The sequence below is a fragment of the Homo sapiens genome, chromosome 13 (assembly GCF_000001405.40).
Source record: "Homo sapiens chromosome 13, GRCh38.p14 Primary Assembly".
In the NCBI taxonomy this organism is placed as follows: Eukaryota; Metazoa; Chordata; class Mammalia; order Primates; family Hominidae; genus Homo; species Homo sapiens.
Genome location: NC_000013.11, coordinates 35,215,589 through 35,242,953, shown reverse-complemented (window position 1 = coordinate 35,242,953; position 27,365 = coordinate 35,215,589). Strand labels below are relative to the sequence as shown.

General features: G+C 33.5%; 1 protein-coding gene across 13 annotated transcripts in view; it reads right to left on the bottom strand.

Moving 5' to 3' along the window:
• Nucleotides 1-27,365, bottom strand: part of NBEA (neurobeachin) — a 730,467-nt gene that overhangs the window by 429,783 nt on the left and 273,319 nt on the right. For all 13 annotated transcript variants that reach the window (XM_047430271.1, NM_001385012.1, XM_006719803.4 and 10 more), the window contains one exon: nt 10,335-10,462. In XM_047430271.1, coding sequence (XP_047286227.1) covers nt 10,335-10,462 — 128 coding nt within the window. The remainder of the gene's footprint in view (nt 1-10,334; nt 10,463-27,365) is intronic.

The following is a 27,365-nucleotide window of genomic DNA, read 5'->3' as shown; positions in this document are numbered from 1 at the left end:
GCTTTGAGTTACTGTGTAGAATCCCTCTTTCCAAGTTGAAGGACTCCCTTTAGCATTTCTCGTAGGTTAGATCTAGTAGTAATAAATGCTCTCAGCTCTTGTTTATCTGGAAAATTCTTAATTTCTCCTCCATTTTTAAAGGACAGTTTTGCTGGAGGTAGTATTATTGGTTGATAGTTTCTTTTTGTTTTGTTTTGCTTTTTACTTCATGCACTTTAAATATATCATCCCACTGCCTTCCAGCATGCATGGATTCTACTGAGAAACCTGGTGATAACTTATAGAGGCTCATTGTACATGTACAATTTTCTCTTGCTTCTTTTGAGATTATCTTTGACTTTCAGTAGTTGGATTAAAATGTGTCTCTGTATGTGTCTGAATTTATCCCATGGGAGCTTGTTGAGCTTCAGTTCGTATGTCTGATTCCTAAAATTTGAGAAGTTTTTTAGCCATTATTCCTTCAAATACGCTCTCTGCCCTTTTCTCTTTCTTTTCCTTATGCAACTACCATAATACCTATGTTAGTCTGTCTGAAGATGTGGTCCTTTAGGCTCTGTTCACTCTTCTTCATTCTGTTTGTCTTGGTCCTCTAGCTCAGTAATTTCATATGACCTGTCTTCAAGTTTGCTGATTCTTTCTTCTGTCTAATTGAGTCTACTCTTGAACCCTAATAATGAATTTTTTAATTCCTTTGTGGTTTTCAGCTTCAAATTAGTTTTTGCTTTTAAATAATTTCTTTAGGTTCATATTCTCCTTGTGTTCATAAAACCTTTTCCTAATTTTGTTTAGTTGACAGTCCCTGCTACCTTTTGGCTCATAGGCATATTAAAGACAGTTGTTTTAAATTATTTTTAAAAGAAGTCAGAGGCCGACATTTCTTTAAACGTGGTTTCTGGAAGTTGTTTTGTTCCTTTGCATGAACTATGTTTCTCTCTTTCTTTGAGTGCGTTGTACTATTTTTGTTAAAATTCGGGCTTTTAAAAAATATAGTCACTTCTCAGTCTTTAGTGAGAATGTTGCAAGCAAGTTCCATTCTTTCCCTTCCACCCCAAAGGAGTAATTGGGAACTGAGCAATTTCCTCATTATCATGTATGCTGCACTGTGTTGAGGAGGGTGTGGGATAAGGGCAAACAAAATAGCAATGGATTTCCTAACGTTTTGAGTAGCTCTGTCTTAGCTAGGTGTTTACTTCATTGCTGCAACATCTTATCTGATCTAATGAATCTTAATTGATTTATTAGCTTTCTAACAACACTAATTTGGTCCATGTATTTTTGTACATTCATTTTTTCTTTGGGAGAATGAGGACTTCAAGGTTTGTAGTCACTATATTGCTCATGTTACTCTCAATCTTTTCACTTTTTAATGTTGTTTTGATAAAACAAAACAGTTTTAATATGGTGATTTTTTTACCCTCTACACTTTACGCTTTTGTATCTAGTTTACATAATACCTTTGGTATTACAGATATTTTCCTATGTTTTTTTCTCCTGAAACATTTGATATTTGATTTTCAACCACAGTGGTAGTGTCTTTTGTTTGTTCAGGGAGGAAGAGATCCACTTTGTTTTGTCTTTTAAATTAACAAAAGGGAATCCAATTGATCTAGATCCACTGTTCACGTATTTCTCCCCAGTCTACAATGGAGCTCTGTCTCATAATGTTACCATATGTATGTGGGATCTGTTCTTGGAGATTTATTCTGACACACTGATCTATCTCTGTGCTACTGCTATGCTGTTTTAACTATAATAGCTTGTTAATTTCCAAAATTACTCGATTTTTTCATCCCTTTATTCTGCTCAGAAATTTAAGATAAAGCTTATTAAATTCCATGAAAATAATTTAAAAATTATTTTAAATCAAATTTTTATTAAAATTGATATATTAACATGGACTGAAATAACTTTTTTGTGATGAGTTTTCCTACCATGAATATGATATAGTTCACCATTATTTAGGTCTTTAACGTCATTCAAGAATTTTTATATCTTCTCCAGAGAACATTAAAATATTTTATTACAAAATATTAATAAGTAAACTGCAGAAAACATCAGTTAATAAACTATTATGAAGTGAACATCCTTGCAACCACTAAATAGCTAAAGAAATAAATTATTACCACGTATCCCAGGAGTACTCCATGTTTCCCATTCTAACCCTCTCCCTACTTATAACAAACCATTATTCTGATTTTTATGATAATCACTTTGCCTTTGATTATAGTTTTTAATACCTAAATCATAGAGTTATTTCTACAAACAACTTAGTTTTGGTGATTTTTGAAATTAAAAAAAAATCTCTTTTAAGCTACAGGTTCTTCCTATATCTCTTTTCCCCATGTAATTTATTTTGAAGAGACCAACTCAATTTGTATTGCAGAATTTCCTCCAGTATTAATTTTGATTATTGAGTTCCCATGGTATAATTCAACACGTTGAATATACAGATTTAATCAGGTGTGCTTTTATTTTATTCATTCATTCATACATACCGTCTTGATAGGTGATGGTATTTTTCCTATCTAATTGTCTAGCTGTCTCTCTATTTGTGAGTTTAGCAGCCATTGAAGCTTAGATCTATTAAATTCTTAAAGGGTGCTAAACGATAATCTAACTCACATATCCCACCACTATTTATCAGATGATATATTTTTGTAAAAACAAAACATCCCCCCTCAATAACTTCATAATACAATGATCCGTTCACAAAGAAAGGACATAAGAAATACTTTATTCTTTTAATTTTCTTATCAGTTTTCAAAGTAAGTTCTCTATCATTCTCTAAATTTGACAAAATCATTTTCTAAATTATCATTACGAATACATAGATTTAAACATATCCAGGTGTTTCAATGCATTGCAGTTATTATTGGTTGGTGCAAAAGTAATTGCGATTTTTGCCAATTGCTAATAAAATCGCAATTACTTTTGCACCAACCTAATAGATTTATGGATGCTCAAACTGCTCCATCTTGGGACAACAGGAATTTCTTTAAGTTAGCTCCTGAGCTCTTCTGACAACATTTGATACCTTCCTTGCTTTGTGGTATCACAAAATGTTGCAGGTAAATGATTAATATTTCCTGCCCCAGCCTTGACATCACTTATTTCTCTATGATAAAGTCCCAGTTTCTTTCATTGGCAAATGATATTTTAATAGTAAATATGGACCCTAAGTGTACTCACTGCTACTGACTTGGTTTTTGTGTCCAGGCAAAACAACAGACAGGGCTACTAGTATAGTATACATATACCTATAGAATATGGGTATGCGTGTATGTGTGCATGTACATGCATATGTATGCATAAGTTTACATGAAAATGTCCAATTCAAATTCCAAATTAAAAGCTTTTACTTAAACTCTCCTATTTTATATCTGGATCGCCTTTCTTCAGCCAGAATCCTGATTTTCAAGAACACGGGATAAAATAATTAGAATATTAATAATTACCAAGCAGCTTTATCCAACATTACATAACAGTTTTGTAATATCGATAATATTACTACCAACATAATTACTGCCCCATTTTTCAAATTTTTCAGAATAAGCAGTCATATCCTTTAATTTCTCCTATATAACCCTCATTTAGTTAATTCTCCAAATAGATCTATATTTGATGGCCACCATGAGTCCTTGCCACAAATAAGCTGATATCATGTATATCATGTAGCTATAAGCTAGATGGTCCCCACCTAGGCATATTTTGGGGTCCAATGAGATACCTGTCACCTAGTTTTGTTGTAAATGTCCATTCATTGTTCTTGTAGTTATTGTTTCATTATCTATTCTTCCATCCATTTTTTATGGAGGAAATCAGGAATATTTAAAAATTATGCCAGCATTTTCCATTTACCCAATTTTCTTGTGTACATTTTTTTGTATTATTGTAATTTAAAAACAATAATTCTGAAATTATATTTTAGTCTATAATTTTTAAATAAAAATACGGCAAGTTTTTCTGATTATGTGCCTATAATGCTACTACAAATGATCTGTGAATGATATGGAGCTTCTTGACTAGGCTCATTCATTTTAGAATATGTCAGTGATATCCTCTTTGGTGAAGGTAGAAATTTCATGCTATATTTATATACTTTTAAAAAATGCTAGTCGTGGAAACCATAAATATTCTTGAGTATTATATGATTTTAATAAAATATTTATTGATGCCACCAAAAGTAGAGTGGACCCTTCAGTGAAATTTCCTGCACTGCTAACATCTCTTTCTAAAATGTTTCAACTTGTATATAGAGCCTAAAAGGGAGAGCCTCATGTATCTCAGACACCTCTATCCCACCTCAGGCTTAGCTGATTATGACAGGGTCAGACACCTAACCCAGGAGGAACAAAGTAATAGGCCTGGCTAAGCCATTCAGATTCTCTGTTGATAAGTTAAGTGACTATAGTTAGATGATGCAGGATATTTACATTAAAAATGCATTAAGATTCAGGGCTAAGGTGCTATGCTAAGAGATGTTCTGATGACTAAGCAAGAGAAGTTGGTCTGGGAGGAAAGTAAAAACACTGAGTAGATACACAGAGAGAATAAAAGACAGGAGGCTATAAAGTTGCTTTGCGAATCAAAGGGAGTAGTCTTTGTTACTGACTTTTCTCTCCCATTTCCAGGCTGCCTGAAGATCAACTATATTTTATTTCCTGTCCTTGGACACATATGAGACTTTCTGCTATATCCGCATCATAACTAAGTTACTCTGAATATTTCTGTGAGCTCCCAATAGAACATAAACAATGCTCACAGAACATAAACTGGATTCTTAGGCAGCTTTGTTATCTTTGGCTGGTAGGTTTTGATACTTGCATACATACCTATTCTAAGTAGTTTTTATGCATTAGTTTATAAATTGAAAACCCATAATTTTCTTAAAATTCAGTAAGCTTCAAATTACTGTCTTCAAAAATCCTTAATTATTGCTAAGAGAAAACACACATCAAAAGCTACCTAAAAATAGCTACTGTTAATGAATGGTCTTAAAAGGTGAACTACATTGTTCTAGAATGATACAATCACAAGCTAACTAATCAAAGTAATAGATAATTAAGAAAATGAAAGGACACCGACAATAAAAACTGCCAAGGATTAATTATCCCATAAGAAATAATTTAAACAAAAATAAATGTGTGCCTTAAGAAAAATGGAATATAAAACATAAAATAAAGAGGCAATTCAAATATACTTTATGGCTATTTGAAGTTAAAAGAGTAATTGCTTTTTCTTTTCATAGACATTAAAGTATCTTCAGTTACCTAAATTCAGTTTTGTTCCTACCACACACACACATATTTATATGGTAAATTGAAATGCAGTGAGATTTATTCATCATAAGCACTATTTCTTAAATGGAAATATTCAAAGCTAGGGTAAATATGTTTTTATCATGTAAATGTCCTGAGTTCTTCATAATGCTTTGATACATTTTCTTCTCAAGGGAAAGGAAAAGCATATCAAATTAGAGAAAGAAGGGAAACAGAAGGAGAGCGAAGAACAAAGAATGAGTAAGAGTACATGCTCAAGAATGAGAAAATAAAAGGACATACATTTCTACAGGCTGGGGTGGAGAGCAAGTATGGACCTTGGATGAGTGCAGCAGCAAACTCCTAGGTCTGAAGAACTGATCAATACCAGGAGTTCTTACCACAGAACATAAAATCTTACCAATCCTTCCTTATTTTCTTTTTAGCGACAGGGTCTCCGGTGCCCAGGCTGGAGTGCAGTGGTACGATCGTGGCTCACTGCAGCCTCAATCTCCCACTCAAGCAATCCTCCCACCTCAGCCTCCAGAGTAGCTGGGACTATAGGCACATGTCACCAGGCCTGAGTAATTTTTTATTTTTTCTAGGGACAGGGTCTAACTATGTTTCCCAGGCTGGTCTTAAACTCCTGGCCTCAAGCAATACATCTGCTTTCGCCTCCCAAGAAAGAAAAATAATATCCTATGCAAACACAAGGGAAAAACACTGAATATTTATGATGTACCAGAGTCTAAGTTAGGTAATGACAATATAAACAATAAGATATTTCCTATTTCAATAAGTGTAAAATAATTTTATTAATATTATGTAAGTAAAATACTGTAGGAGCACATAAGTCATGACATTAATTTGCTTAATGAGCCTGAAAATGGACTCAAAGGATGAGTATAATTTGGGGAGATTTAAAAAAAAAAAGGGTTTAGGCCGGGCGGGGTGGCTCATGGCTGTAATCCCAGCACTCTGGGAGGCCGAGGCGGGCGGATCATGAGGTCAGGAGATTGAGACCATCCTGGCTAACACAGTGAAACCCCATCTCTACTAAAAATACAAAAAAAAAAAAATATATATCTGGGCGTGGTGGCAGGCACCTGCAGTCCCAGCTACTTGGGAGGCTGAGGCAGGAGAATGGCGTGAACCCAGAAGGCGGAGCTTGCAGTGAGCCAAGATAGTGCCACTACACTCCAGCCTGGGCGACAGAGCAAGACTCCGTCTCAAACAAAACAAAACAAAACAAAACAAAACAAAACAAAACAAAACAAAACAAAACAAAAAGGATTAAATGCAGAAAGAAGAGCTGTACAAAAACAAGGAAATGTGATAGTATGTAACTTCTTTACATGTTTAAGAAATGTTTTTTTATAGCAAGAAGATAAAGACTAGTTGGGTCTGGAAGGGAGGGTTATGACCAAATTGTGAGGGATACTGAAAGTCATTCTTTTAAACAACTATAGTTTCCAGAGTTCTGGGTTGTATGAACTAGCAAAAATTTAAAGGATCATATTTTAGGGTTGTCAGCTTTTTATACTGCCAAGTCACTGGCATTTAAAAAGCAAAACTCAAAACCTAAAAATCTACCATTTGCTGTCATCATTTTATAAAGAGAAGTCATTTTAAACATCAGCAAAGAAAGACATAAATATTACATCCATATAGTTTAAAAAGTAGGATGTATTAAAATTCTTTGAATGTAGAAAGTTACAAGATATAATTGTATACTGCCAGGGGAACACAAAATGAACTTTTTAATATCTAACCCGTTCCAGTATTTCATTTCTAGCATAGTTACATTAAAAAAAAATCCAGGTTCACCTGGATGCACTGATAACAATGAAGGCATGTTCTTAATGGTCTTTCCACTCAATTCAGAATATGTGAGGTAAACAGAGAAGCTAAAAAAAATAACTCTCAATTACTCAATCATTTTTCTCTGTGCATTGATGAGAAGAAATAAGTAAGAAACAATGTGAATGTGTGGTCATGGAAGATTCTGGGAAATAACTACACACAGGGGTTCCTGATTTTCCAATACAGAGCAGTTAACATAAAATTGCCACAGACTATCACTTAGGAGCCAGTAACGTGAGTCTTATAACAACATAATTGTGCCTTTGCTCTGGCGGCTAGAAAACTTGCACAGAATTTGTCTTAGTTTTAATAACATTGCAGGACTCACTACTAACATTATTATTACAAGACTAACTTTATTCCCTGTTTTATTTTATTATGTCTTTGGTCAGTATTTATACATTTCTGTAAAACCTATCAAATCATTTTAGGAAAAGATAGATAGCAACAGAAAAAATAAAAGGCTTTTATCTTGTAGGGAATGAGGAAACATTTAAGATTTGTTTTTTCAATGATGTTTACTGAACTTCTTTATTTTAATAAAGTAACACATGTTACAGAAAAGCATGAAAATAAAAATATCAATAACCAGCATTCTTGCTCCTCAATAGCATCTAACTACAGGAAATCAAAAGAATTAAAAGCAAAAAAAGGAACTCAAGAAGGACCAACTGATAACCTAGTACCTTTTAGAATCCGTAACTATGATGCCACCACTTTTAGCTAACATAATATTTAGGCTACTTTGGAAGGTTTTTATACATGGCTTGATATAATATTTGTAATGTTAATAATATTTGAAGAACTATCCTCTAAATATTGTTTTCGGAAATTATTCATTCTCATGAAGTAATTGTAAATATTAAAGTTGAAGGAGAAAAGAGCTAAAGAAAAATCAAATTTTCACCTCAAATGTTTGCATTAATAGTAATGCTAATGACAAAATAAATACATTTAGAAGGAAAAGTAAATTGAGGGAAAACAAATTTTGGATAAACAGAGTTTGAGGTATCCCTGGAGTATATGGCTTTAGATGTCTATGCTAGGTAACTTCAACTATGTCTGGAATTCAGAAGACTGGGTTGAGCTGTTACAGGAGTTAGGTAGAAGCAGGGAACATAACCCTTTCAAACCTGTGTCCTCATAAAGATGAGGAAGTGGCTTTATGGCAGCAGGAGTAAGACCAGGTATACACAACTACCTCACTGACCCAGTTAGAAGAATATGTGCCCTGCAAGTGGTCAGTAGGCCATCTAGTCTCATTTCCCACTGTACCTTTGTATATACTTTCATTATAGCACATATCCTATTTAATTTTAATTATTGGTTTTTATGTCTCTTTGCTCATTAGACTGCAAACTCCATGAGGAATATTTCTTCTGTTTTGAATGAATCAATGAATACATGATTTTGTGTAGTCAATCATACACATCTAGAACAAAGCTATTTAAATTACACACACAATCTGCGGCCAAGCAATAGTTTTTAAGCTTCCAAGAACTTTTAAAGTTCATTTTGCGGCTGCTTTGAATTAGCATGGTTCTTCTCAGAATCCAATTCTTCAGAGCATTTTATACTTCACTTTGTAGGTGGGAGTATAATAATGACAATAGTAGCATCCAGGGTGACAGCCCTACTTAAAACATCAGCAGCCTCCCTACAACACACTAGTTAAAGCCAAAGAACCCATTACCTCTCTGGCCCTAATATTCGACTACTGTCCTTCTGGTTCACATGAGACTGGCATTTTTGCTGTTGGTAGATCATACCAAGAACATCTTTCTATCATTTTAGGGCCAATGTACTGACTATTCTCTCTGCATAGAACACTCCTCATCTAATAAGCTGTATGGCACTTATTAAGTAAGTTTTATTACTTATTATGTAAGGTTTTGCTCAAATGTAACTTTTACCATGAGGCCTATTTAAAATTGACCACTCTCTTTAAACTTCAGCCTAACCTTGTCATTCTGTAATCCCAATTCTCTGTGTTGTATTTATCCTTTTACATAACATTCACTATCTTCTAGCATGCTATGTAATTTAATTATTCATTTTGTTTAATGCTTATTGATTTTGTGTCCTTGTTAGAATATATGCTCCATCTGAAGAAAAGCGTCTTTGTCTGTTTACTAATATATCAAAACTATGTAACATAGTACCTAGCCCAGAAGGAACTCAGTACTTTTGGAAACCTGAGAAGCTCATTATGTGACAATATTCTAAGAGCTTCAAATGCCTTGCATAATTTAATCTTCACAAGAACCCTAAAGTGCTGTATCACTGACTCCAATTTATAGAAAGGAAACTAAGATACAAAGTGGCTAAGTAATTCACAAAGGCCACAAAGCTAAGAAAGTAGTTGAACTAGGATTCAAAGTCAGCTCCCAGATGCCGAGTCATTAACTATCACAGTCTTCCTAATAGAAACACTGTGTAGAAGCAGTTGGGACAATAACAGAACAGGCACAGGAAAACTCTCTTTCTTCTACAGTAAACAGGAAGTGAAAAGCAAAAAAGATATACAAGGATGCTAAATCCCAGGACTACCTGAAACAGCATCTAAAGCCATTATTCACCTACAGATCATCTTGATATTATCTAATTCTTTCTGAAGCTCAGAAATATTCATAAAACAAAACTTTTTAAAAAGAAATACGATTTTGATTAACCATATTTTTCAAAGCCACTCTCCTTGTAAATTTTTCTCCTTTGCCTCCTTACTGTATGTAAGCTGCTGTTGAGGAGACAATGGGTTCATCAATTCTTTGTTAAGTATTTCTCTAGATTTTTAATGTCTTCTTAGTTAAGGATTCCCACACTACAAATGTTATGTGAATAAGAAAAATCACTTAAAGGTGCATGGCTCTCAGAGTCAGAAGGAAATTTCAGAGATCACTGCTTAATAAACAGGTTATCTTAATGACAGGATATACATCAGCCCTGATAGATGGATTAAAGAGCCAAAGCCTCCCATTCTGACACCTTTTCAACGTTCTTCATCTTCAAAGTTTTCTTACTGGCATTGACCATGCAAACATGTTATTTAAAAAAAATGAGTGAAGAGAAAACATATTGAATATCTTATTAGAATTTGTGAAGTAATGCCTTTACATTCTTTTGGAAATATATATTCCTCCAGAAGCACAAATTATGCCATGATTAATACATACATTATAGGAAACTAAAATAATTATAATAGAGAAATCATACCTTCTATCAATAGCTCTTGTCCATGACTGCCAAGAAGTGTACGAGATAGGAATGGGGCAAAGTCTACAAAAATTTCACGAAGAAGAGGAGCAACTTTTTCTAACGCTCTTTCAAGTTTTGCAGTGATGCTGTTGAAATTAAGACATAAAAACTAATAAATATAATTCAATATAAAATGTCAAATAAACTTTACTTCTAAATTAAAATATTTAAAAATCATAAATGTCCTTTCTAGCCCATGGAATAATAACAAGCTTCATGTATAAGGGATACCCTGTACAGTTTCACAAACAGTCATAAGGCTACTGAAAGGTTTCAGCTAAATTGCAATGACTATACTATGAAAAAGAATTGGGGTTATGCCACCCGAAAGGGCCAAAGACTGTCCACCGCTCTATGAGCGTCATGTAAATGAGTTTTTGTATGCCTTCTCTATGTATCTATCCATCAAAGAAAATGATCTGGAACACTGACAATGTGGGTCCCTGTGCCAGTTACAAATAATTTAATTCTTGCTCTCAAGGAGGTATTACCTGAAATCTGGACAAATAAGGGAATAACTGAAATTCGTTGTAATACAGTTGAATGCTTTGCCAAAGTAGGCATTTTCCATTTCATAAGCCTATTTACTTTTCTTTACAAACTGCTGTATTATTATATAGTTCACTGTTGAATTTTAAGTTAATAGCCATACATAAGCACTACTTGACATTCTTAAAAATACTTTGGTACATGTAAAAGTAAAAAATGGGGAGGAGGAAAATATTTCTGCTTAGACAAATGAATAACATAGTAACAGATTTATCTGTCTTAGATAAAAGTGCTTTGGAGTAAGACTGCTTAGACTAGAATCCTGGCTCTATCATATACTAGCTAGGTGACCTTAGGCACATTAGGCTTTCTATGTCTGCAAAATGAAGATGATTGCAGTACCTACCCAGTGAGGATTAAACAAGCTAAGGGATATAAAGTGCACAGAAAAGCACCCAGCACACAGTGAGAGGTCAATAATGTTCACTTTTTTGCTCTACTTTGAACACACCCATATTTACACTCACAAAATGTGATTCTGATACATTAAACAAACCAAAGTCAATATATTAGATGAGTACACATTCTTCTACACAGACGATATGTACAGTTAGCAATTAAACAATGTTACAAAATAATACAAGGTCTGCCACAATGCCAGGTAACATTTTGTTACACATGAGGCAAAAATTTATAAATGAAAAAAAGGTAATTAACCATAAAATAATTTGCAATATATTACTAAGGTTTAAAACTAAACTATGGCCTCTTTTTAAATTTTTTAAGCAATTAAATAGCTATTAGAGAATAATATCGGATGACTTCTTTCCTAAATTGGAAACAGCCAAGTTTCAAATCTTTGAGCACTCTAAGTATCACCATCAGCACTTCTGTTTAACTCTGTCTCCTCTTACCCGTGTCAACAGCTCTAGAGAAAGGAGAAACCATGGAGAAAACTCAAGTTTGATCACTGCCACATATATTTAGAAAATTCTGGAGGAACATTTTCCCGTAAGAAAAAGGGATTTGAAGGGGATTTGGCAGACTTACTGAAATTAAGAGATTTCAATAGTCTCCCCTACTCTGTAATTCCTAAAGCAAGGACCTCCTGAAGACACTGGTTCTCAAGCTTTAATGTGGATCAGAATTATCTGGAGAGTCTGTATAACCAGACTGCTGAGCCCCACCCTAGTCTCTGATTCAGCAGGTCTGTGTGTACGGCAAGCATTTGTTAGAAGTACAAATTCTCAGTCAGTGGTGTTGATGCTGCTGATCCAGGAAACACACTTTGAGAATGACTGTTTTAATGAGAGTATTTACTATTAGAAAGAATTAACAAAGAAGCAAGCAAAAGAAAGGCTACCTGAAGTCACCGAATAAGCATAATCACAGTAAGTTACCTGTTAGTGAATACAAAGAGATTCTTTTTTGAATCTACAATTTCATTAATTCCTTCAAATCTCTAGAATCATGTCCTACAGCTCTTCCCAGCTAAACTAATTCCCTCTACTAAGAAATGGTAAGAATGGTAAGAGTGAGTTTATTAAAAGGAGAAAAATCTAGATATAATAGTTTCTGATGCTCAATTATAAATGAAGTATGATTATTTTTATTTAAGATTAATAAGTGAGAGTAAAATTATAAAAATTATTGATTAATGGAGGGTTGCATCATAGCTATTGGATTTAATGTACTATTATTGAGTTAAAGCCAGGAACATTTTTTATCCTAGGTTGAGAACTTTCTCCCCTATTTTACAGATTTCGGTGTGATTTAGAGGCTTCAGAATTACAAAAATACTGTTACTGGTGATTAAGTTAAATACAAAATAGAACTTCAATTAATCCGAGCAACTGATTACTTCTGTAAGTATGTATAAATATACATTATTATCGATTATCTTGACTAAAGGGTAATAGATAAAAACAGATATTTCTCAGAAAGTGAATCCCTATTAAGATTTTTTTGCAAATATTTTCTTATAAAATTTATTAGAATAGTAAATGTTGCTCTTACGTATCATCCTGCAATGAGAATTTTAATTTTCTAATAGGGGGCAAAGAATATAATATTTTACTCAGCAAGAGATTAGAAGTTTTATGTATATAAACCATTATCAAATAATTCTGCTGGAATTACAACAGCAAAATATTCTAAATGGAAAAACTTCATCCTCATTTTTCATAGTGAAGAAAGCTTTTGTTGTTGTTGCTTTTTACAGATTCCCCACAATGTATTCCAAAGAAGGTTGTAAATGCTGTATAAATTAGCTTCATTGTTACACAATTTAAATTCTGAAAGAAAATGGTACAAACATAAACTTCAGCCTAAGAACCTCCTTTATCGCCTGAAAATAAGGATTAATTACAAAAAATACCAAAAAAGACATATTGTGGCTATATTGTCATTTTGTTATTTCCATTCTCATCTCAAAGAAACACACAATGTAAAACTCCTTTTCCCCAATTCCAAGACACATGAGACAGCTATCTGTTAATATGTAAAAAAATAAATTAAAAGCTATGTTAATGTGAGAAAAGCCCATGCCCTTAAGTCCTATAAAAATAAATAAAATTTTCTCCTTAAAATAAAAATACAAAGAACATATAGCCACCAGAATAAAACCAGGTATTCTTCAGCAAATTATTTTTGTAAGAAAAACTGGCATAATATACTGACTTTAGGGGAAAATTCTAAAGAGTGATTTTTGAGTTTTCTCTGAAAGTTTACTTTCATTTATTCAAAAACATTCATTTAGGCTGGGCATGGTGGCTCATACCTATAATTCCAGCGCTTTGGAAGACTGAAGAAGGAGAATGGCTTGAGCCCAGGAGTTCAAGACCAGCCTGAGCAACATGGTGAGACCCTGTCTCTACCAAAAAATTAAAAAATTAGCCAGGTGTGGTGGCGGGTGCCTGTGATCCTAGCTACTCAAAAGGTTGAGGCAAGAGGATAGCTTGAGCCCAGGAGGTCAAGGCTGCAGTGAGCTATGATCATGCCACTACACTCTAGCCTGGGTAACAGAGCAAGACCCCTATTTTGCCACAGAAAACAAAAACAAAAACTATTCATTTAGTCTAAGACATTTTATGCACAGAAGTAATACAAAGGTGTATTTCCCTATGTAGGGGAATCTGCCCTGCACAGTCTGAGTGAGTTTTATAATCTTATACTCTAATAACTTAATATTTGGTTAAGTTCTTGGGCTCTAACCACAGACTTTATCAAGTGTGGTTTGAAAAGCATACAATTTCAAGCCACTCATTCTATTCTCCCCAGTCTATTTTTTCCCCTTAAGTCACACTAATGATGTGTTTAAGATGCTTGATTGATGACTATTTTGAATTTGGCTATTTTTCTTAATAGTAAGTGTAAACTCTTAAGAAAAAGAATTAAATTACTGGAACAGGAGGCCATTATCTTAAGTGACTCAAACAGAAAGGCGAATACCACATGTTCTCACTTATAAGTGGGCGCTAAATGATGTATACACATGGACATAGAATATGGAATGATAGACACTGGAGGCTGGTGACTTGGAAAGGCTGGAGGGTGGAAGGTGGGAGCGAGAGGTAAGAAATTACTTAATGGGTATCATGTACATTATTCAGGTGATGAATACACTAAAAGCCCAGACTTCACAACTACGCAATATATCCACAAAACAAAATTGCACTTGTATCCCTTAAATTTACACAAATAAAAAAAAAAAAAGAGAATTACTTATTTCCATGAAGAAAATTCTTGCTGAAACTTGAGAAATTATAAACCACTCTAACAAAATTACCAACTCAAAACAAAATATTCAAAGGAAATAATAAGGCTTTAGATGAAATTCTATAGCTCCAATGATTGGATTAAAACAATATGACTTAAAACACAAAAGCTTACAATTATGGTTTTTAAAAACTGCAATCATGTATTGGCTTTTACCTGTATTAAGGAAGTCTCATTCACACTTAATTCTAAGAAATTCGTATGAATAAAAATACAATTAATCCATGGGAAAAATAATGTATGAAAACCCACGGCTTAATTATTATCAAATCTTGCCAAATGTAACTGGCCTCAAGAAATATCCAAAGCCATGGTAATTTTAAGTACACAAATCAGTAAAAAAAAAAAAGAAGATTTTTCTCTCCTGTCATCTAAATGAATCCCCTTATAAACATAGTTCATAACAAAGTGATCTTTTCTTAATGTTATATGTTTTAGAATTCTAGAAAAATATAATAATTCTATTCTTATTTAGGGCCCTACATACATTGTGTATTCTATTTTAACAAACACCCTTATGTTTGTGCTACTTCATAAAGTCATTTTTACTTATTTTTGATTTTATTTACTTTTTGTATTCTCCTAGGTACTTAGCACAATGTCACAAATATAATAAACAACAATTCGATTTGAAAGATTAGAGTGCTTAAATTTCCTAATTCATTTCTTAAATCATATAAAATAGGTAGTTTATAATAAGAAAACATAGAACAAAAAGAAATAATTACATACCCTTAAGTATTGTACCTAAAAGATTTACTCAGACATAAAAGAAATTATTATACTAGTGAATTCTATAGTAGATTTTTATTAATTGAATGCTCCTATGTAAATGAGGAAATGTAGGCATCGGTAAGTGAACTGATTGGGTTTAGGTAAACACAGATGAAAAGACAAGATTAAGAGAGTATTAATGATAGAATAAACACACATTGTAAAGTTAAATTCTTATCAGCTATATATTATGACTAGGAATTGACACAACTCAAATACTGTGTCTGTTGTCACTAAATTTCTAATATTAAATATAATTTAACATACTAAAATAGCTGATGAGTAAATGTATCCTAGATCTGCAAACCTGTGACATAATTACCTACTGACAATTTTATTAAGTTACAGCTTTCTAAGGTTGTGGCCGCTACGGAAAACATGATATTGAAAAAAAAAATGCTTACTTATTTTACTTCCCTGTGATCTTATAAATTTAAAACTGGCATTTTGTCTTTATTACTCCTAAACAGAATTATTTTCAAGTGCATGATGAAAAGGTTAAAAAAGTAGATAAAGCTATAGAAGACTAAGAAATTGAAGCTAAATAGAATATTTTTATAAGTAAAAAGTTTACTGCTTTATATCGTAAACAAAATTCCAAGTAAACATTTTTCAAGTTTTAAGATGTGTAATGCCTACGTGAGCATGATGATGCAAACCTCTAGTCCCAACAACTTAGGAAGCTGAGGCAGGAAAATCACTTGAGCCCAGGAATTCAGAGCTGTTGTGTGCCATGATCGCATCTGTGAATAGACATTATGTAATGCTTTTTTGGGGATGCCCTTAGACATCCCCAACTTAGAAAAGTTTTTTGGAGTGTGCTAATTACGAAAGTAAAAAAAAAAAAAAAAAAGATGTAGAACAATTCCTTGTTTCCAGTCAATCACTTAAATTAAATGACACAAAATTTAACTATAGTGAAATAAAAATATAAACTCAAGAATGTAAGTCTAACTAAAACCAAACAACAAATCTAGTGATAAAAAGGGTAAGGCTAATTGTATCTTAAATATTTGACAGGAAAATTGTAATAATAACATTTATGCTCCTAAATACAATATTTCGTATATTTAAAAAAATATTTTAATGTAGTAGGAGCTGTGGTGTCTCACCAAGATCCAAGATCCTCTTTTAGGATAGAGACATTCTTTCCCTGGAGAGTTCTGAGGAGAACTGTGGGGTGATGGCTCACAGCTGAATCCCTCCCTAGAAGGGAGCTGCTTCACCCAAGGTTAAGCCCCCTCATTAGGAGCAGTGTGAATTCAAACAATGGTCAATTAGAAGAAAAATGAAAAACCCCAGCTCCTTTGACCCAATTGAGGACACCTCTGGAGCCATTCCAATTTCAGAGCTTTCCCATGGAGTGGCCTGGAATATCTCTTACAATTGCATTACTTTTCCTTCAGACCAATCTTCCACTGCCACTTATTTACAGGTGGTGTTATCAAGAATATTCCCCAGTAAAGCACCGAAAGAATTTGTTTTCTGGAATAGCAGTTAATGAGCATTTTGTAGTGTAGTATTTAGTAAAATATAATATTTTTGAATATATAAATTGAAAAATCAACTAAGAATTTGAACTTTTAAAATTAAATAGAGGACTTCTATTTCAGATGTAGAAAACTAGAGTCATTCCCACAAAAATCACAAGAAAAAGCCAGATAATCTAAAGAATTATAACTTTGTTAGGCCTCATCAGAGAGCTGAGGTTGCTAGGTAACCAAACAGCTTGAAATCTGAGGATAGGAACTCCAAGAAGACTTAGGATGCATGAACTTGCTAACCTGAGGCAGAGAACAGGAAGCAGCAGCACTGGGCACCACATTAAGCTGGCAAGAAAAAAATCAGCTAAATTTTTTAAATAAATTTCTGAAGTCCATGTGTGAACTATAAGAGAATAAAACCCCCAGAGCTATAGACACAAGGGGCGTTTGCAACGATGCCCAGCCTCTTCCATTCAAACCTAACCAGTATTCAGGAGAAAAATTGGAGGCAGCATGGAAGACTGCAGAAAACTTCCTTCATTGCTCCAGGTTAAAGGAGGGAGAATTAATTGCTGCAGAAAAGATACAAAGTTCTGCCTAGATCCTTCTTCCTATCTCCTCTACAGAATGGAAGCCTTATGCATTTGAGAGAAAGACAACAAATCCTGTCACTTTTGGGGCACAGTAGGAGGCCTGTTGCAGCTGGAGGAAAGGAACATAAAAAACCCTCTACTCTGAGGGAGGGGAAGGGAAACGTTCTGAGTCCTGAAATTTACAGATCCCCAATCATGTAGAAATACATAAAATCACTGAAAAAGCCCTACCTTCAAGATCCAGGACAGCACTTGACTAAAATGGAGTCTAGACCAGGACAAAAGAGAACCCTTGAACACCAGGCTTGCAAGCACCCAGTAACAGATAACAGTAGTCTACTATTGCAGAAGGGACTACATAGTGTAGAGAACCTCTCTGAATCAGAACAGGGTAGAACAGAAATAGTGAGTAAGACACTCTGAAAAACTAGCACCTAACTAAACACAAAGTAAAAGTAGAGAAATTTAAAGTCCGTGGTACACAGAGAGTAACAAAAACAACAAGAAAACATAAACCCTGCTCAATTCCAGACTAAAATGACTCAACCCCTCTCACAAAAGCCTTAGCATAAGGAGAGGCAGACCCATTTAGAGCACAAATACGACTGTCAGGAACTACTATCCTATACATGATGTCCAGTTTTCAACTAAAAATTACCTTACACATGAAGAAACAAACAAACAAAAAAAGCCAGAGAAAAACCGATAGAATCAAAATCACAGATGAACCCTATGTTGGAACTATAAAATAATTTAAAATAACTGTGATTAACATGTCAAGAGTTAATAGCTGAAAAGGCAGACAACATACATAAACAGATGGAAATTTTCAGCAAAAGTAAGAAACTGTAAAGAAGAAACAATGGTAGAAATAAAAAATACAGTAAAAGAAATGATATGCCTTCAATGGACTTATCAAAAGACTCAATGAAGCCAAGGAAAGACTCAGTGAATTTGAAGATAGGCCAATAAAATATAGACATATTAAAACAAAAAGAAAAAAGAATATATACACACTCAAACGGAGTGTGCACATTGGTGCATTCAAAAGCTATTAAACAGTATCAAATAATTTTATATAAATGTGATTGGAGTCACAGAAAGAGAAGTGCAGTATGCTGGTATGCCAAATAATGGCTCCACAAAGATACCTAAACCATAATCCCTGGAATCTTTGAATAAACTATATTACATGGCAAAAAGAATTTTGCAAGTGAAATTAAGGTTATGGGCATTAAAATAGATTATCCTAGATTACGTAGGTAGGTTCAGTCTACATGTGTTCTAAAAAGCAGAAAACTCTCTGGCTAGAGAAGTACAGCAAAAGAGGAAGGCAGAAAAGATACGTATAAGAGGAAAACAGACAGATCCCAAGTTTGAGAAAAACTGGATGCATTATTACTAATGCCGAATGTAGGAGGCCATGCGCAAGGCGAATTCTAGGAGATAAGGGAAGCCTCTGACAGCAGGCAAATAAACAGGTCCATGTGTTCTACAGCCATACAGAACCGAATTATGCTAATAACCTGAGTGAGCCTGGAAGCTCATTTTCTAACAGAGTCTCCAATAAGAAATGCAGCCCTGCCAACATCTGCATTTTAGCCCAGTGTGACCTGAGTGTTGGACTCTTAACCTACAGAACTGTGATATAATTAATAAATCAGTGCTGATTTAAGCTGCCAAATTTGTGGCAACGTGTTATTCTAGCAATAGAAAACTAACACAGAGACATACCAGAGCAGAAGAAATATGTTAAGAGATATTGAGTGAGAATTTTCCAAAAACAATGAAGTCATAAAACTACAGATACAAGAAGCCCAGAAAACACCAACTAGAATTTTAGTAAATAAGTAAAAAAATATGTAACATAATACACTGCTGAAATTCAAATATAAAGAGAAAATCTGAAGAAGGCATTCAGAGAATAAAGACACATTCCATAAAGAGGAACAAAGATAAGAATGACATTCTCATTAGAATCTGTGCAAGCCAGAAGAAATGAGATGAAATCCCTTTCAAAGCCATTTTAAAATTACATAAGTCCACAATTTTATATGTAGCCAAAAAATTCTTTAGAAAAAGATGGTAAAATAAAGACCTTTTAGACAACAAAAACGGAGGTAATTCATGTAGCTGACTTTGTACTACGAATACTTTTAAATGTAGTTCAAGTATAAGGAATATACCAGACAAAAACAGATTTATACAAACAAGAGTGCTAGAAAAGATAAATAAATCTATAAAATGCATTTATTTTTAATTGCTCTAAAATAAAATTCACTGTCTAGAGCAAAATAGCAGTGTACTGTTTATTTTCTTTTTCTTTTTCAAGACAGAGTCGCACTCTGTCGCCCAGGCTAGAGTGCAGTGGCACAGTCTCAGCTCACTGTAACCTCTGCCTCCCGGGTTCTAAGTGATTCTCCTGCCTCAGACTCCGGAGTAGCTGGGATTACAGGCACATGCCACCACACCCAGATAATTCTGTATTTTTATTAGAGATGCGGTTTCAGCATGTTGGCCAGGCTAGTACTCTCAAATTCCTGACCTCAGGTGATTCACCCGCCTCAGCCTCCCCAAGTGCTGGAATTACAGGTGTGAGCCACCATGCCCGGCCTACTGTTTCTTCGTTAAGATATATAAAAGTAAAACGTATGACAACATTAACACTAAGGATGTGAAAGAGGAATTAGGAGTAAACTGTTACAAGCATCTTTATTAACACATGAAACTTTGTAATAATATTAAAAACTGAGTCTGATAATTTAAAGATTTATATTGTAAGTCGTAGAGAAGCCCCTAAAATGTTTAAAAAGTTGTCTTTTATTTTAAGCATTTTAAAAATGTTTGAAATATTGTCTACAATAAGACAATATTGGAGAGAAAATGAAATAATAAAAAAAATACTCCATTAACCCAACAGAGGGCATAAAAGAAGAAAAAGAAAATAAAGTACAGATGGAAAGTAACAATTTATTCTAAAACAATTACCAAATTGGTAGATATCAATACAATCATGTCAGTGATTATACTGAATGCAAATGATGTAGAAATACCAATTAAAATATAAAAATTGTCAGTTTGATTTTTTTAAAAAGCAGAACTGCTTTAAGTATAAAAATATAGACAAGTTTAAAGAAAGGAAAAAATTACCATCAAAACCCTTCACTAAAATAAAGAAAGTCATGTAAGGAGTTGAAAATGTTTAATTGGATGAACTTTATACAACTTAAAAATTACCAAAAAGTTACACATTTTTCTATTATATAATTAAGGATCAGAAGGAATGGATCTGACATAATCCAGCTGAAATCAGTGATTAAAAAAAACCAAGCCATTTTAACATTTACACTCCATCTAATATATGATCATAAACACAATAACTATATAAAAATAATGTGGATTTCTACCTTTAGTAATAGGCAAATTCTCCTGCTGAGAACAACTAAAAAAGCTGGACAAAATCAAAAACACTTCTCTGAGGGAAATGGAGAGTTAAGACAGAAGTCAATTATTTGACCATGATCCTGAAGAAGAAACTCTAAGATGATTTTGGTTTCTGGACCGCTCTTCTCCCATGGACATGTTTTGGTAGAAGCAACTGAATGATTGAAATTCAACAAAATTTTTGGAGCTCAGAGCCTACTAAAGAGGAAAAAAAGCTTAGAAAAACCCTTATGATGTAAGGTTCTATAGGTTTATCTGATTTATGATTCTATAGGTTGAGATCCTATAGAACTACACTTTAAAGAAGTGGTGAATCGAAAAAAGACTGGCCCTCTAACCTTGACTTCATTAAGGTCCTTTAGGATTGCTAATGCTTACTAGAAAAAAATACATTTTTTTCTGGAAGAAAACACCACTTTGTACTTTCATATTATGTTTATAATCTTTCAGATACTACATAGGTTTTTCACATAATAATAACAAGAAAAGAAATATAAGTAGACAGGAAGATATTATTGAATACCAAAAGTAACACAAGATGACAGAGGTAGCTCTGATAAATAATCAAAGACTTTAGGGTAACTATATTTACATTCAAGGAAATTAAAGATCAAGATAAACAACTGGATAAGATAGACAATTGGAAGTTTTTTTAGTTTTTTGTTTTTTTTTTTGAAATAGTGTCTCACTCTGTCGCCAGGCTGGAGTGCAATGGCACAATCTCAGCTCACTGCAACCTTGGCCTCCTGGGTTCAAACAATTCTTCTGCCTCAGCCTCCCAAGTAGCTGGGATTACAGGCACTCACCACCATGCCCAGCTAATTTTTGTATTTTTAGCAGAGATGGGGTTTCACTATGAAGGTCAGGCTGGTCTCGAACTCCTGACCTTGTGATCTGCCCACCTCGGCCTCCCAAAATGCTGGGATTACAGTCGTGAGCCATCACGCCCAGCTGGAAGATAATATTAAACCACAAAAGTCAAATGGAAATTTGAGTACTTATAAAACTTGAAATTAAGAACTGAGAAGACTGGACACAGCTAAAGAGATAATTAGTAAAGTAGACTATAGGTTAAAAGAAAATACTCAAAATCACTGAGAGAGAAATAGGCATAGGGGGAAAGGATATAGATAGGTAAGAAATGTATTTTTAAAAAGTCTAATTTTTATGTAAGATAAGCTCTAACAGAAGGATAAAATGGGTCAGAAGCAATACCTGAAGAGGTAATGGCTAGGAAGTTTCAAAATTGAATGAAAGTGATAAAACTTCAGATTTGAAAAACTCTACAAATCTTAAGCAGGATAAATACAAAGAAAATCCACAGCGCCTGAAAACATCATAGTAAAACTTATCAACTCCCAAAATACAGAACACCTTTAAAACAGACATCAGGTGGGTTGGAGTGGAGAACAGAAACAATATGACTAGGAATTAACCTATAAAATAAATAAATAAAACACAGAATGAAAAAAGCCAAAAGACAATAAAATGATATTTTCAAAGCACTATAAGAAAATAATTGCCAACCTAGAATTCTATTGGTTCAAAATATCCTTTCAAACATCGAGGTGGATTTCCAAGATGTTTAGAGAAATAGGAACTAAAAATTCATGACAGGCAAACCTGCACTAAATCAAATACTAAGAAGCGTTCTTTCAGAAGAAGAAATATGATACTAGGTGGAGGTCAGACATTCAGAAAAGAATGATGAGCAACAAAAAATGATAGTCATTTGGCTAAATCAAAACAGATGTTGACCAATAAAATAAGTATACTTTCTTGCAGGGTGTGAATTTAAGATGAACATGCACACATGCATACATATGTACATGTATGTCTGCAAAATTTGGGGTAAATTAAGTTAAACTAGAGTAAGGAAGGGCCATGCATTGTCTGGGAATAGGACCTCGATAAATCAAGGATAACTCCTGCGATGTGGAGGATTATCAATTACACACTGTTTCTCAAAGTGTGTATTCTGGACCAGCAGCATCAGCATGATCTAGCATCGTGGTTAATTTTATGGGTCAATTTTACTGGGTGTCCAGATATTTGATTAAACAGCACTCTGGGTATGACTGTGAGGGTATCTATTGATAAGATTAACATTTGAATAGGTAGACTGCCCTCCTTCATGGAAGAAGGCTTCATCTAGTCAGTTGAAGATATGAATAGAACAAAAAAGTTGAGCAAACTCCTTCTGCCTGAATGTTTGAGCTAGGAGTACTGGTCTCTTCTTGGCCTTTGGACTCAGACGGAAACATCGGCTCTTCTTCAGTCTTGAGCCAGCCAGCTTTTGGATAGGAACTTGTATCACTGGCTCTCTTGGTTCTCCGACCTTGGTACTTTGATTAGAACTACACATTGGTTCTCCTGGGTCTTTAGCATACTAACTGCAGATACTGGGAATTTTCAGTTTCCATAATCATGTGAGCCAAATTTTTATAATAAATCATGTGTATATGCATGTATATTCATATGAATGTAAACATCCTATTTAATCTGTTTCTCTAAATAAGCTTGACTAACACACCTAAAAACTTGTTAGAGGTGCCCTAAATTCTCATGCCCTACTGGAGTCCTACTGAATTAGGTATCCAGCAATCTGTATGTTAACAAGCCCTCTATGTTATTCTGATGCATGCTGATGTTAGAAAACTACTGCACTAAGGAAACAAACAATGTACAACTTTCAACTTAACCGTTTCTTGTTATTTCTCTCTAGACATTTTTTTGGCAATATGAATAAAACTGATTAATCACTGCCAGAGCTTATCAAGAAAAGGAAGGAAGGCAAGGAAGGCAAGGAAGGCAAGGCAGGAAGGCAGGAAGGCAGACAAGCTGGCTAGCTTAAATAAAGAATATCAAGATTAAAAAGAAGGGACATTACTACAGATTATATGAATGTTAAAAGAATAACACAATAATATTATGAAAAGCTTTATGCCAGCAAAAACCTAACAAAGCTGACACCAGAAAAAAATAGAAAATTTTGGGAGATCTGTAACTAATTAAATTGAAATTTTAATTAAGAAACTTTCCTAAAAGAAGAGATCCAGGATTAGGTGTCTTTGCTTGTGAAGTTTACTAAATATTTCAGGGGAAAAAATAAAAAAATAATCTTATAGAAGCTTTCAAGAGATAAATCTATTTCACATTACAATGAAATTGGATTTCTTACAGAAATTGAGAATTCTTTTAGCATTTAAAAATTAAATCAATATAGTATACCATGTTAACAGAAGGAGAAAAACCACATGATCATCTTAGTGTATATTTAAAAAGCATAAGATAAACTTCAACATACGTCATGATAGCAAGTTTTTGTTAATTACAAATATAAGAGATGTATAACATTTATTGAAAATTATATATAATTAATAGGTAAGAAGCATCATAGTTAATGATAAATGTTCAATGTTTTTCATCTGAGATGAAGAATTTAAAAAGAATGCCTGCTATAACCATGACTATAATAAATTGCATTAGAGGTACTGGGTGGCACTGTAAGTTCAGAAAAAGAAATTAAAAGGTGCAAGGATTTTAATGGGAGAAAAAACTCCCCCATTATTCGTGGATGACAGAATTATGTATATACATATACATTTTGAAACAATCTATAGAAAAATAATTAGGAATAATAAGTGAGTTAACATTTCAGGATATTCTGTCAACATACTGAAAGGGAAACAATTAAAAGAATTAAAATTTATAAAAGAAATCATTGACAACATGATAAGAATATAAAATTCATTTGTAGCCTTGAAAAAGTAAGATGGTCTAAAATTACCTTCCATGCTAACAGTTAAAAATATTAGACAAATACAGGGAACAACTATTTTCAGGCAATACAGGGAGTACAGGACTATGAACCCTAAGGACAGGGAAACCAATGAGGTGAGCTCCCCCATCATCCATGTTTCCTTTATGGAGGTATTTCCTATATTATGGCAAATACTGAGTCCTGCAATGTTTTTGAGTTGACACGACTGAGACTGTAGTTCAAAACGGCCAAGGTGAATAGAATTTGCAGAACAGAGTCCCTGAGAGGAGGAAGCTATGAAGAAAAAAATTTCCCAAAACCTGAGTCTTAGGCTGAATAGCAATCTACTTATGTGAAGCCTGAAAGCTCCAAGGGCTAGAATAGAATAATTTTTTGAAAAGAATAATTATGAAGGAGCTGCAACACAAACATCACTGAGAGTGCATAGTGCTGGGAATAGTCTGTATTCCCTCCAGCCAGAAAGGAGAGATCTCATTAAATACACTGAGCATTCAGGAGAAATTCTAGCAAGTCTACCCTTTCTAAGTGTGGCAAAAGCAATCCAAGAAGAGAGGCCTCTCTAAATTTGCCTTAAAAGGTCTTAAAAACATGCCTCATGGGCAAGGATAGCCTTTTCAACAAATGGTGCTGGAACAAATGAACATTCATAGGCAAAAATGTGTACCTCAACCTAAACCTCACACCTTACACAGACATCAGCTCAAAATAGATCACAGACTTAAAAGTAAAACAACTTTTAAACCACAAAACTTTATAGAAAATACAATATAAATTTTGGGAAAGTAGAGGTAGGTGAAGAGCTCTTAGACATGACACCAAAAGCTTAACTATAAAAAGGTAAATCTGACAAGCCAGATTAAAAAAAATTTAAATTTTTCTCTGCTAAAAAACCCATTAAAAGGATGAAACAGGGAGCACGTCTAAGATAAAATATTTGCAAACTAAATTTCTAAAAAAGGACTTGTATTTGAATATAACAAAAACTCTCAGAGTTCAAAAGTTAAACAGTGATCCAATTAAAAAATAGGCAAAAGACATGAACAGACAATTCATGAAGGAGACATATTGATGGAAAATAAACACAAGAAAAGATGTTCTGCATATTTATCCATTAGGAAAATGCAAATTCAGACCACAGTAAGATATCACTACATACTATCAGAATGCTTAAAAAAATGCTGGTAACAATGAGGAGAAACTGGACCACTCACACATTGCCAGTGGAAACATAAAGTGGTTAAGCCACTCTAGAAGACAGTTTTGCAGTTTCTTATAAAACTAATCATATACTTACCATAGAGCAAGTAATCTCACTCTTGGGTACTTATCCCAGAGAAACAAAAATGTATGTTCACATAAAAACAGATGTCCACTGTAACTTTATTTTTAATAGCCCCAAACTGGAAAAAAACTTAAATGTCCTTTAGTAGGTGTATGTTTAAACAAACTGTCATCCGTACCATAGAATATGACTGAGAAATAAAAAAGGAACATACTATTAATTCATGCAACAATTTGAATGGATTGCATGGCAGTATTTTTAGTGAAGGAAGATAAATGTCAAAATGCACCTCTGTAAAGTGTATGAATCCAAGAAGAAATAGGGAAAATTAGAAAAAAATATTGAATTGAATATAAAAAATACTACATTTGTACAATACAGGTAAAACTGTGCTTGGAGGAAAAGTTATGGCTTTAAATGCTCATATACCATATCATTAAACAAGAAAGTTCTAAAATCAAAGATCCAAGAGAGGGGCTGGGAAACATCTGTAAAGGATAAGACAGTAAATATTTTAAGCTTTAGGCCATATCGTCTCTGTTCCAACTATTTAACTCAGTCACAGTAATGTGACAGCAGTGATAGGCAATACATAAGCAAATGAGTGTGGCTGTATTCCAATAACTTTATGTACAAAGCTGGTGGCAGAATGATTTGGCCCATGGTCCACAGTTTATAGACACTCAATCTCAGTTTCCACTCTAAGATATGGGAAGAAAAAAGCAAGCAAACGTGATGTAAATAGAAAGGAGTAATAAGAGCAGAATTCACATAATAGAAAAAAAACACTCTAAAAATATTAATGAACACAGTATCATTTTTGGGGGGAAATCATAATATTGAAAAGCAATAGCTATTCTGATAATGAAAAAATGAGAAAAAACAAAATAACAAAATCTGAAATGAAAGAGGGAACATCATTAGGGATCATGCTTATATTTTAAAATATTAATAATAAAATTTTTAAAATTACAAAGAATTTATGGCAATAAATCCAACAACTTAGATAAGATGGGTAAATTCATTGAAGACAAAAATAACAAAACAGATACAAAAATAAATATACTATCTGGATACTCATTTATCAATTAAAAAAACTAAATCTATAATTTAAATTTTCCCAGAAAGAAAATTCCAGGCAGAAATGGCTGTACTGGTGAATTCTCAAACATTTTAGGATAAATAATACTAAAGCTACAAGTGACATTATCTCATGCATAGAAAATAATAAGGAAACTACAGAAAGTGTTAGATCGATTATGTGAGTTTAGAAAGTTCTAAACAACTTACCACGTTTACTAAAAGTAAGTGGCAAGATTATAAAATATAAAATCAATATATAAAAATCAATGTACTAATACA